Source organism: Homo sapiens, chromosome 14 (genome assembly GCF_000001405.40).
Source record: "Homo sapiens chromosome 14, GRCh38.p14 Primary Assembly".
In the NCBI taxonomy this organism is placed as follows: domain Eukaryota; kingdom Metazoa; phylum Chordata; class Mammalia; order Primates; family Hominidae; genus Homo; species Homo sapiens.
Genome location: NC_000014.9, coordinates 38,244,800 through 38,257,862, shown reverse-complemented (window position 1 = coordinate 38,257,862; position 13,063 = coordinate 38,244,800). Strand labels below are relative to the sequence as shown.

Sequence of the window (13,063 nt, the reverse complement as noted above, 5' to 3'; positions counted from 1 at the left end):
TCATGTTTCTTTCTTATAAGACACTAAGTTACCTAATTTAAACGCAAAGCCACGTTTAAGGTGATTCTCAGACATCTGAAGGAAGGACTAAGGAATGTTCTTTAAATTGGGAAATAGGGCAGGAGAGAAATCCTAGTGCAAAGCTCCATACTCAGCAAAAGCAAGGTAAGTATGATGATGACTCATAGGCTTACTGTTGTTTGTTAAGATACATGGAATTTCCAGGAGGAAAGAAGAATGAGAGTTATGGTAAAAATAAGATGGAAGCATACAGATGTGATCCTGAAACCTTCCCTCCCACCCCTCATCAACCTGAATGCAGTAAAACAAAGTGAGCTTATATGCATTATCCATGGAATGGCAACTTTCATTCTGATTAAAGATATTTAAAAGCATCAGACATCTCTAAGAGGGCTTAGCTGAAACTCTCTATGTATTTCTGATGGCAACGTATTTGGCCATTATGAACCAAGATAGAATGTACGTTTTCTAAACTGATACTGAATTGTCTAAGTTGCTAACAAGAAATCCTTTCATAACAGTACAGTTTTTAACCTTTACTTCTTTATTCATCTTTAATTCCTTGCCACTTCCCACTGAGTTGAAATGTTTATATTAAAACAAAACACCCACTGGAATTCTAAAGAAATTGGCTCACCCATCTTTCAAATTACAAGATATTTTTTGACAGTATACAATATTCATTATAATGGAATAAACATTTTAATTTCTTAAGGAACTCTAATTTTCCTTAAAGGAGATGTTTACAACTTACTATTATAAATGCTGCCACTCAATCATAGGAGAAAATGATACTAAAATAGTTCAAGGCTAAAATCACACATAGGGCAGTTGTTCTCGAATATTTATAAGGCCACGAACTCATTTATGTATAACCTATAAACTTGAAGAATTTTTGAACCAATACAGTGGCAAGGAAAGCTAACAACCTAACTGTTAAGATCTATGGTCATTATTTTTCATTTAGTCCTAGAAATACATTTCCTTTCTGTAATGAATCAATATGGTCTAACTCAAAGAGAAACACGTGGAAGTGAAAAATAAATTTCTAAAGCAAGTGCTGATGGAAGAAGCAGAATTTCCCATTTAAAATACCCAAACAACTCCAAATTCTTTAGTAGTTAGGACTCCTGAAATCTCTTGACATAATAGAGAAGCAAAGACCCATAGAGAGATATGCGGTTAAATAGTGCTGCCTCTGGTGGCAAAAGCAGTTGCTAAGTTGTTTCACAACATATTTTTCCCCCACAGGCACAGGCCCCCCAAACACTGGAGCCGTCTACGAATTATTCTGACGCTAACTCCACAGCTCCGGACAGAAACACAATAGACGGGCGTGGTCTTATAATCATAAGCCAGTTCCTTTCTCAAGTCCTTCCTGCCTATGTTCGCTTACGTGTTATGGGTTCTGCGGTCCTGATGAAACTCCCTGAACGGAGAAAAACCACACACTTCATCCCAGTGGCGAATTTCTCCTCTTGCTCTAAGCAGGGTGTTTGACCTTCTAGTCGACTGCGTCCCCTGTACCCGGCGCCAGCTGTGTTCCTGACCCCAGAATAACTCAGGGCTGCACCGGGCCTGGCAGCGCTCCGCACACATTTCCTGTCGCGGCCTAAGGGAAACTGTTGGCCGCTGGGCCCGCGGGGGGATTCTTGGCAGTTGGGGGGTCCGTCGGGAGCGAGGGCGGAGGGGAAGGGAGGGGGAACCGGGTTGGGGAAGCCAGCTGTAGAGGGCGGTGACCGCGCTCCAGACACAGCTCTGCGTCCTCGAGCGGGACAGATCCAAGTTGGGAGCAGCTCTGCGTGCGGGGCCTCAGAGAATGAGGCCGGCGTTCGCCCTGTGCCTCCTCTGGCAGGCGCTCTGGCCCGGGCCGGGCGGCGGCGAACACCCCACTGCCGACCGTGCTGGCTGCTCGGCCTCGGGGGCCTGCTACAGCCTGCACCACGCTACCATGAAGCGGCAGGCGGCCGAGGAGGCCTGCATCCTGCGAGGTGGGGCGCTCAGCACCGTGCGTGCGGGCGCCGAGCTGCGCGCTGTGCTCGCGCTCCTGCGGGCAGGCCCAGGGCCCGGAGGGGGCTCCAAAGACCTGCTGTTCTGGGTCGCACTGGAGCGCAGGCGTTCCCACTGCACCCTGGAGAACGAGCCTTTGCGGGGTTTCTCCTGGCTGTCCTCCGACCCCGGCGGTCTCGAAAGCGACACGCTGCAGTGGGTGGAGGAGCCCCAACGCTCCTGCACCGCGCGGAGATGCGCGGTACTCCAGGCCACCGGTGGGGTCGAGCCCGCAGGCTGGAAGGAGATGCGATGCCACCTGCGCGCCAACGGCTACCTGTGCAAGTACCAGTTTGAGGTCTTGTGTCCTGCGCCGCGCCCCGGGGCCGCCTCTAACTTGAGCTATCGCGCGCCCTTCCAGCTGCACAGCGCCGCTCTGGACTTCAGTCCACCTGGGACCGAGGTGAGTGCGCTCTGCCGGGGACAGCTCCCGATCTCAGTTACTTGCATCGCGGACGAAATCGGCGCTCGCTGGGACAAACTCTCGGGCGATGTGTTGTGTCCCTGCCCCGGGAGGTACCTCCGTGCTGGCAAATGCGCAGAGCTCCCTAACTGCCTAGACGACTTGGGAGGCTTTGCCTGCGAATGTGCTACGGGCTTCGAGCTGGGGAAGGACGGCCGCTCTTGTGTGACCAGTGGGGAAGGACAGCCGACCCTTGGGGGGACCGGGGTGCCCACCAGGCGCCCGCCGGCCACTGCAACCAGCCCCGTGCCGCAGAGAACATGGCCAATCAGGGTCGACGAGAAGCTGGGAGAGACACCACTTGTCCCTGAACAAGACAATTCAGTAACATCTATTCCTGAGATTCCTCGATGGGGATCACAGAGCACGATGTCTACCCTTCAAATGTCCCTTCAAGCCGAGTCAAAGGCCACTATCACCCCATCAGGGAGCGTGATTTCCAAGTTTAATTCTACGACTTCCTCTGCCACTCCTCAGGCTTTCGACTCCTCCTCTGCCGTGGTCTTCATATTTGTGAGCACAGCAGTAGTAGTGTTGGTGATCTTGACCATGACAGTACTGGGGCTTGTCAAGCTCTGCTTTCACGAAAGCCCCTCTTCCCAGCCAAGGAAGGAGTCTATGGGCCCGCCGGGCCTGGAGAGTGATCCTGAGCCCGCTGCTTTGGGCTCCAGTTCTGCACATTGCACAAACAATGGGGTGAAAGTCGGGGACTGTGATCTGCGGGACAGAGCAGAGGGTGCCTTGCTGGCGGAGTCCCCTCTTGGCTCTAGTGATGCATAGGGAAACAGGGGACATGGGCACTCCTGTGAACAGTTTTTCACTTTTGATGAAACGGGGAACCAAGAGGAACTTACTTGTGTAACTGACAATTTCTGCAGAAATCCCCCTTCCTCTAAATTCCCTTTACTCCACTGAGGAGCTAAATCAGAACTGCACACTCCTTCCCTGATGATAGAGGAAGTGGAAGTGCCTTTAGGATGGTGATACTGGGGGACCGGGTAGTGCTGGGGAGAGATATTTTCTTATGTTTATTCGGAGAATTTGGAGAAGTGATTGAACTTTTCAAGACATTGGAAACAAATAGAACACAATATAATTTACATTAAAAAATAATTTCTACCAAAATGGAAAGGAAATGTTCTATGTTGTTCAGGCTAGGAGTATATTGGTTCGAAATCCCAGGGAAAAAAATAAAAATAAAAAATTAAAGGATTGTTGATAACCCAGACTCAAATATCATTGCCTTCCTCCAGGAGTAATTAGGAACAGCTGAGGGCATGCTGGGAGTAAGCAGCAAGAGTGCATTCTGCTTTTAGATTGAGGGAGAGGTCCTTAAGTTCCTCGAATGAGACACAGATCTTTAAGAACTAGTAACTTTTTCATTGATTCTTTTATCCTTTCTTTTCAAAGTCACTGCTACTTGTGTGCTTTGCTATAAATCGAAAGTGTAGTGTTGCCAGAATTGCTGGCTCTGGAAGAAAATTACAGTTGACCACCAGTTCAAGTGTTTACTTTATGTCCATGCCCAAGGAAAACACATAATTTGCGTTTTCCCTTTCCAGTGTTTGTGCTTTCCAGCGTAATGACCTCCCCAAGCAAATAGCCCTCTCCTGAACATCAAGATGCTCATCCTCATCTTCAATTATGGTGATGTTAATTCTCAATTAAAATGTTAATGCTAAGTATTGATTTGCAATCTTCTGGTTGCATCAAAGAAAAAGTAAGCTGGTTTTCCTCCAAAGTTGCTAAGTTCTTGTGCATTTTTCAACCCATGGAAAAACTTGAACACCAAGCCATTTTCTTTTTCTCTTGATAAGAATGTGTGCAATAACAATACTTGCTCATTTTGGAGTGATTATAATCTTACAAGTGTTTACATGGGCAAAGGCATGGTAAACAGTTTACCATAAGAAATAATAGTATAAGAAATAAGTGACAAATTTTAAAAAATCTATCATCTTGTTATAACTGGGGGGTATTAGAAAGTAATCTAAATGAAGCACTCCCATGAAAAATAATTAAGACATAATAAAAATCACTGCCTCGTGGAATCAAAGTCCCTAGAAGATATCCCACTTTTATTAGTACGCTGAGACTTTAAAACTAAGAGTGTGGGGGTTGGTGCATGCAGAGAGGCAGAGAAACAAGCTTAGTAACAGGGAGGAATGAAAACAGAAGCTTACACTTTATTTTCACAGAATTATTTTAATGTTTTTGAGTGTACAATGTATACAATGGAAAATAGACTTACAAGTCGTAAGTGACCAATTATAAAATATTACTAAAAAATTAAAACAGCTCAATCCATAAATTCATTTCCTAAATATAAATATATATATTTAGTATTATAACATTAAAAGAATGAAACAATAGGTAATTTGCCTCATATACTAAATATGTTTCTAAATAGTTACACTTAAATAAAATTACAGAAAAATTAGAATTAACAACATTCAGGGGAATTTTAAATATTATTTTACAAGTGAAATTAAAAATCAGATAAGTACAGTAAATGGCTTGCCCATGTTCCCCAACCTGACTTGTCAGAGTATATCTCAGTTCATCTCAATCTTGGTGTTTTAGCTTTCCTCTTCACATGATCTCTCAGTAGAGAAGGTAAAAATTTGAGTAGAATATATGATGCTTTCTTTTGTAATTTGAAAAATAGCTTTATCTATAAGTGAGCTGAACTGTTTGTGTGTGTGTGTGTGTGTGTGTGTGTGTGTGTATACATAGTCATGCATTGCTTTACAATAGGAATACATTCTGAAAAATGTGTTTTTAGGCAATTTCGTCATTGTGTCAACACCATAGCACGTACTTACAAAAACCTAGGTGGTATAACCTATTACACCCCTAGGCTACAAACCTGTATAGCATGTTACAGCACTGAATACTGTAGGCAGTTTTAACACAGTGGTAAGTATCTCTGTATCTAAACAGATCTAAACATAGAAAAGGTACAATTAAATTACAGTATAAAAGATAGAAAATGATACACTTTATTGTATAGGGTACTTACCATGAATGGAGCTTTTTAAAGGACTGGAAGTTGCTCTGGGTGATTCAGTGAGGAAGCGGTGAGTGAATGTGAATGTGAAGGCCTGGGACACTTTATAAACGCTATACACTTAGGCTACACTAAAATTATTTTAAAAATTTTACCTTCAGTAATAAACTAACCTTAGCTTACTGTAACTTTTTTTGCTTTAAAAACTTTTTAATTTTTAAACTTTTTGACTCTTATGTAATAACACTTAGCTTGAAACACAAACACATTGTACAGCTGTACAAAAATATTTTCTTTCTTTATATTCTTATTTTATAAACATTTTTTGAAATTTATTTATTTTTTTTACTTTTTAGACTTCATTATTTAAGGGGCCTATTGAAGTCTCTGTTATTATTAGGTTGTCTATTTCTCCTGTCAATTCTGCCAGGTTTTGTTTCATGTATTTTGGGGGCTCTGTTGTCATGTGCTTGTACGTTTATTATATTTCCAGACAGATGAGCCCTTTTATCGTTATAAAATGTCCGTCTTTATCTTTAGTGAGAGATCTTGTTTAAAATCTATTTTGTATGGTATTAGTTGTCTTATGGCTGTCTTTATGCTTGGTATGGGCTTTTTACATCCTTTAGCTTTCAACCACTTAAGCTTTTGAATCTAAATTGTGTCTCTTTTAGGCAGCTCATATTTTGACCATTTTTTAATAATCCATTGTTCAGTATCTGCCTTCTGATTGAAGTGTTTCGTACATGTGTGTTTAATATAATTACCACTAAGAGAGGATTTACACCTACTGTTTTCTGTTTGTTTTCCACATGTCTTATGTCTTTTTTGTTCTTTTATTTCTTTATTATTGTTTTATTTTGTATCAAGTAAATATTTCTAAAATTACCATTTTAATTCTCATATTGTCTCTTTTCCTTTTGTAAAGTTCTTTTCCAAGTAATTACCCTGAGGATTACAATTAATATCTTAACTTAAAAACTATATAATTAGGATGAAGATCAACTTAATTTTAATAGTTTACAAAATTTTGCTCCAATGTGGCTATATTCTTTTCCTCCTCCTTTGTGCTATTCCTGTTAGTCAGATTATATCTTTACACTATAACAATTTTATAATTATTGCTTCATGCAGTTTTTTTAAGAGACAGGGTCTCATTCTGTCACCCAGGCTGGAGTGAAGTGGCACAATGATAGCTAATTGTAATCTCAAACTTCTGAGCTCAAGTGATCCTCTCAGCCTTCCAAGTAGTTGAGATTCTAGGTGCATGCCACCACACCCAGATAATATTTTTGTATTTTTGTAGAGCTGGAGTCTCACTTTGTTGCCCAGGCTAGTCTCAAACTCCTGGCCTCAGGCGATCCTCCCACCTTGGGTTCCCAAAGTGTTGGGATTACAGGCATGAGCCACTTTGCCTGGCCTGCAGTTACCTTTTAAATTAGGTAAGAGAATAAAAAAGTTACAAGCAAAAACTAAATTTATACTGTATTTTGTAGTTACCTTTACCAGTGCTCTATTTCTTTGTGTGGATTTGTTATTGGTTAGTGTCCTTTCATATTATCACGAAGGACTCTCTTTAATGTTTTCTTTTGTAGGGTATATCTGCTAGTGACAAATTATCTGATTTTGTTTAACTGAGAATGCCCTAAATTCTTCTTCTATTTTTAAAGAATAATTTGGCTAGATGTAGAATTTTGGCTTAAGAGTCTTTTCCTTTTAACACTTTGCTTATGTCATTTTACTGCCTCCTGAACTTCATAGTTTCTGATAGAAGTCAGCTGTTCATTTTATTAAGGATCCCCTTTACATCTTGAATTGTTTTTCCACTTGCTATTTAAGCTTCTTTTCTGTGACTGCTTTTCTCTTTCTTTGTGTGACTCATAACTTTTCATTGAAAACTAGATGTTTTAAATAATATAATGTGGCAGCTCTCTCAATCTATTTTCTGACAGCCACAACACAGTTTGTTGTTGTTGCTGCTGTTCATTCAGTTACTTTCCTTGATTGGTTCTAAAAAGTCTATATTCTCTGGCATATGTGGCCACTGAGCTAACTTCTAACCCTGTTCAGTTAGCTTAGTGTTCAGCAAATGAAATAGACTTTTTTTTCTTTTGAGCCAGAGTCTCGTTCTGTCACCCAGGCTGGAGTGTAGTGGTGCGATCTCGGCTCACTGCAACCTCCATCTCTTGGGTTCAAGCAGTTCCCCTGCCTCAGCCTCCCAAGTAGCAAGGACTACAGGCTGCGCGCTAATTTTTTTGTATTTTAGTAGAGATGGGGTTTCACCATGTTGGTCAGGATGGTCTCGATCTCCTGATCTCGTGATCTACCGGCCTCGGCCTCCCAAAGTGCTGGGATTACAGGTGTGAGCCACTGCGCCCGGATGAAATAGATTTTTTTAACGATCAGGCCAATAAATTTTCATTCGTTTGTGGAAGGGCACTGCTTGGTGTCAGAGCAGGCCTTCAGTTCTCAGTTTACAGTTCTGCCTTGGACTTCACTTAGTGCTTTTGCAGGGCCTCAGTGTCACTCAGAGGGAAGAAATTAAGAGCCTTCTCAGATCTTTCCTGGGTAGTACACAGCCTTACACAATCATATACTTTCCTAGATTCCCAGGAATACATTGGAGCTTTATAAAGGCCCTTATAGACAACTCTTTCTCCATATCTTCCTTTTCAGTTTTTGTCCAGCTTCTTCTTTGCCGTAATTGGCATCACAACTTCTATTAGTTTCCTGTGGCTGCTCTAACAAATTGCCACATACTGTTGCTTTAATTCTGCTTCAAATAATAGAAATTTATTCTTTCACAGCTCTGGAGGTTAGCAATTTGAACTCAAGTTGTTGACAAGACCATGTTTCCTGTCATGTCTCTAAGAAAGAATCATTGCTTCTTCCTAGCATCTCGTGATTGACAGCAATCCTTGGTGTTCCCCGGCTTGCGGCTGCATCACTCCAATCTCTACCTCTGTTGTCACATAGCCTTCTTACTTCTCTGTGTGTGTCTCTTCTGTATGTCTATGTCCAAATTTCCCTTTCCTTATAAGGACACCAGTAACTGGATTTAAGGCCTACTTTAAGCCAGTAATACTATTTTAATTTGATTATATCTGCAAAGACCTTATTTTCAAATAAGGTCACATTCACAGGTACCAGGGGCTAATGTAAACGTGTTTCTGGAGGACACAGTGCAATCCACAACAAGCATTCCATAGTATTTTTCTTCTTATATTGTGCTTCTCAAATCCATATCTTCTATCTCAAGCTATAGTCCTATGTTTTTCCTCCTTTGAGAAGCTGCTATGTTAATTAATTGCCACTTAATGTTTTGAACAACTACTCTAGAAATAGGACTTTTCCCACTGAGTGAACTCTGAATCATGTCAAATAATAATTCCTGTGAATGGGGCTTTTCCATGAAGCTGAGTGACAGGTCAAATAGTGATAATTCTGTGTGGATGGGGCTCTATTGAAGCTCCAAACCTGTTCTGCCCCTCCTAGTGGCTGCTAGGATGATGGTCTTCACAGCTACTATGTTTGCAATGCTGCTGCTTTTTAAGGCTTCTGCAGAGCTGGGCAATGGAAGATGAAACTAGGCCAAGTTAAAATGCCATAAAGCTCACTATTCTTACCAAGATTTAGCTATTTTTCTTGAATAAACACTTTTTGGGCTATTGCAGATTTTTGGTTAATTTTAAGAGTACCGAAGGATATGATTTTGACAATGTTTTCCACGTTCCTCGCTGCTTTTAAGAAGGAGCAGATTTTTCAGAGAAACTCACTTTGCCATCTGGAAGTACCACCCATGTGTTGCATTTAGATGTCTTTGCAGTCTTCTTCAGTCTAGAAGAATTCCCCAGTCATTCCTTGACTTCAGTGACATCAGCAGTTTTTGAGATTATTGGATAGATTTACTTTGTAGCATGTTCTTAATTAGGGTTTGTTTTTCATCCAGGTTGTGCATCTTTGGATGGAATATTATAGAAGTGATCCTTTGTTTCCCTTGCTTTTGATTCTTAGCAGTTGGTATATGATTTCAAATTGTCACATTATTTGTGATGTCAACTTTGATCATTCAATTAAGGTGGTGTTTGCCAGACTTCTTAACTATAAATTCTTCCTTCATAATTAATAAGTGTTTTGTGGGGAGGTAATTTGAGACTGTGTAAATATACAGTTCCTCATGAAACTTTCAATATCTTATTTATATCAGTATATATTTATGAACTTCTATTTTATTCAAAAAGTTACTATCGTCATTTACTTTGATATTTAAATTATCTCAGATTTAGGCAGTGTGATCCCCTTCAGGTTGTCTCCTATGCCCTTCTGACAGGCTCCCGACCTTCTTGGATAGTTCTTTGCTTTCTGGTACAAGAAAATAGCCCAGACTCATTTTGTACTTCCTCTGCTCAAGTCCAAGAAGCTTCAGTTAATTTTAAGGAAAAATGGTCATCAGAAAACATGATCTATGTACTAGATATACTCATTGCTTTTAAGTTATTGTTGTTACTAGGTGTCTTCTCAAAAAAGAGCGTTAGGAAATGTATGTTTGTGTTTATGTGTGTATGTGTATGCATAAATATACATAAACCTAAAATATACACACACATATACACGTGTTTATACCTACATTTTTCCTAAATCTATCTTATCTATTTATACTTCCATTTGTATTGAAAACCATAACTCACACCAATATCTCTAATTCCAGTCTAACACCATAGGGTTCGGTCTTCTCATCCCACTTGGTCTCTGTTACTCTGCTCTTGGCTGGCATCCCTTGAAGATATCCTCTTCAAGCCACTTGGGTTCTGATCCCAAACAGCCGCCTGTTACCAGCAGCCCTGCCTTTGTGAAAGTTCTCTTCTTCCTGCTTGGGCTCAGACACTAAACTGGGCCACCATCTGGTCCATTCTCTTTACACCACTCAGACTCTAACATTTTGCTCTTGAGCACGATGCCTCCCCATTCTACTGGCATGGACACTGACCCTGCTTAGCCCCACTTAATGACGTTTTGGCTAAATTGTTTCAAAAGGGGAAGGAAGGGAAGATGAAGAGATATTGAATTCTTATCACAATTTATGCTTACCCATCTACACATATCCATGTACTTTTTAAAAACTGTCTTTAAAAAAAAAAACTATCTAAAACAACCTGTTCCCTTCACTTCATCTGGAAAACCGCCATTATTTTTCAGGTATAAGATTGAATATCATTTTACCCGAAAGGTGTTTCCGAAGTCCTGACTCTAGGATAGGATCTAATGGTCACACATCGTATCACCTCAGTGTCTGGCATGTAGGAGGTTTTGTGTATGTGTGTGTGTGTGTGTTTTAATCACCCTGCTTCTTAACCTATATCTCAGATTTCTAATGATTATTTAGAAGGATTGAATACAGGTTCTTATGCCACCTTAAATGCAATAGAAAGAATGTGTCTTACTATGTAGGTTAACTATTTAGAGGTTTCTAAAAATTAATTGATTCCAATACCTATTTATTGCCAAAAAGGAAAAAATCATCAATATTAAGTTAAAAGTAAAATCTCGTTTTGGCAGATATTTGCAAAAATATAACTGATTTGATGAAATATCTTCACTTATAGGTCAAGTTCTTTTAGTTACCTAGAGATATATTTAGCAGCTCATTTACATTGGAGGACACCTTGTAAGGTTATGCTGCTTAGTGTTAAATATTTTATAGGAAATTACTGGCATGTCTCCTCAGCCAAACTGAGTGATTATTAATGCATGATTAGAAAATCATCAGAGTTGTACATACTTTAAGTGTATATGTAATATTTTGATACATGTATGCTATGTGTAGTTATTAAATCGGGGTAACTGGGATATTCATCACCTCAAACATTTATCTTTTATTTGTGTTGGGAACATTACAATTCTTCTCTTCTAGCAATTTTGAAATATATGATAAATTATTATTATTAACTATAATTTCCCTACTATAATATCAAATACTAGAACTCATTCCTTCTATCTACATTTTGGTACCCATTAATCAACTTCTCTTCATCCCACTCTTCTCCTTTCCCTTCTTAGCCTCTGGTAACCACCATTCCACTCTCTACCTTCATGAGATACACTTTTTTTTAGCTCTCACATATGAGTGAGAACATGTGATATTTGTGTTTCTGCGCCTGGCTTACTTCACTTAACATAATGACCTCCAGTCTCATCCATGTTGCTGCAAATGACAGCATTGCATTCTTTCTATGCCTGAATTCTATTCCATTGTGAATTTGTACCACATTTTCTTTATCCGTTCATCCATTGATAGACACCTATCATCATTTTGAGATTATGCTAAGTGAAATAAGCCAGTAACAAAAGAACAAATGCTGTATAATTCCACTTATATCAAGTATAAGTGATTTCATATCTAGGCTGTTATGAATAGTGCTGCAATAAACATGAAAATGCAGATATCTCTTCAATGTACTAATTTTCTTTCGTTTGGATGCATACCCAGCAGTGGGATTGCTGGATTACATGGTAGTTCTATTTTTAGTGTTTAAAAGAACCTCTATACTGTTTTCCATAGTGGCTGTACCAATTTCCATTCCTGCCAACAATGTATAAATGTTCCCTTTCCTCCACCCCTTTACCAGCATTTGTTATTGTTTGTCATTGTGATAACAGCCAGTCTAACTAGGGTGGTATGATATTGCACTGTGGTTTTGAATTACCTTTCACTGATTATTAGTGATGTTGAACATTTTATTATATACCTGTTAGTCATTTGTATGCCTTCTTTTGAGAAATGTCTATTCAGGTGTTTTGCCCATTTTTAAATTAGATTATTTGTTGTTTTTTGCTATTGAGCTGTTTGGGTTTCTTATACATTTTGGAACAATATTTAACATATTAATCTCCTGTCAGATGGAAAGTTTACAGATATTTTCTCCCATTCTGCAAGTTGTCTCTTCACTATATTAATTGTTGCCTTTGCTGTGCAGAAGCTTTTTAGCTTGATATAATCCCATTTGTCAATTTTTGCTTTCATTGCCTGTGCTTTTGAGGTCTTACCCCAAAAATCTTTGCCCAAACTCGTGTCCTATGGCATTTTCCCAGTGTTTTCTTCTAGTAGTTCATCTATCCCCCAATGCCAGGGCAAGATGGAAACTTCCTGAGACATAGGTCATTTCTATGGGTAAGAGAAAAACTAAGAGGGAGAGAATTTTATGGTGAATAGTCAACCAGGCAGCACTAAGAAAAATAAGAAGGAGCTGAGTTTACCTTGTGGCAAGATTAGCTTTCTGTCATCAGAAATAAAACTCAAAAACAGACTTCTCTTACTGAAGAATAAAGACATTTCTATTTGTATATATTTAGGTATTATTAGTGGTTTGTTTAGAAAATATCACATATATTTTGTCTGTACAATAGAGGTAATGTTAACTGCCTCATAAGAATATTATGAAAAAATGAATATAGAGACTTATTACAGTATCCTGGAGTAGTGTAAGCACTTATCAACAATCTTAGTAGCAGATTGAAGATAA

The 13,063-nt window shown here is 39.6% G+C and overlaps 1 protein-coding gene and 1 long non-coding RNA gene across 2 annotated transcripts in view, besides 1 other annotated feature; one reads left to right on the top strand and one right to left on the bottom strand.

Moving 5' to 3' along the window:
• LOC112268136 (uncharacterized) overlaps positions 1-1,818 on the bottom strand; it is a 55,886-nt gene extending 54,068 nt beyond the window's left edge. Inside the window, exon 1 of the long non-coding RNA NR_169588.1 lies at positions 1,418-1,818. This is a non-coding gene — a long non-coding RNA (uncharacterized LOC112268136). The remainder of the gene's footprint in view (positions 1-1,417) is intronic.
• On the top strand, positions 1,770-3,863 carry CLEC14A (C-type lectin domain containing 14A). The gene has a single exon (NM_175060.3). The coding sequence runs from the start codon at positions 1,841-1,843 to the stop codon at positions 3,311-3,313; it is 1,473 nt and encodes a 490-aa protein (NP_778230.1). The 5' UTR covers positions 1,770-1,840; the 3' UTR covers positions 3,314-3,863.
• Positions 1,961-2,588: an enhancer, noted in NCBI's record as "H3K4me1 hESC enhancer chr14:38724480-38725107 (GRCh37/hg19 assembly coordinates)". NCBI's record gives its function as "activates a minimal SCP1, AML or CMV promoter by ChIP-STARR-seq in naive H9 embryonic stem cells {active_cell/tissue: H9 hESC(naive)}" and the evidence as "EXISTENCE:reporter gene assay evidence [ECO:0000049][PMID:30033119]".
• Positions 3,864-13,063: the final 9,200 nt, after the last annotated feature.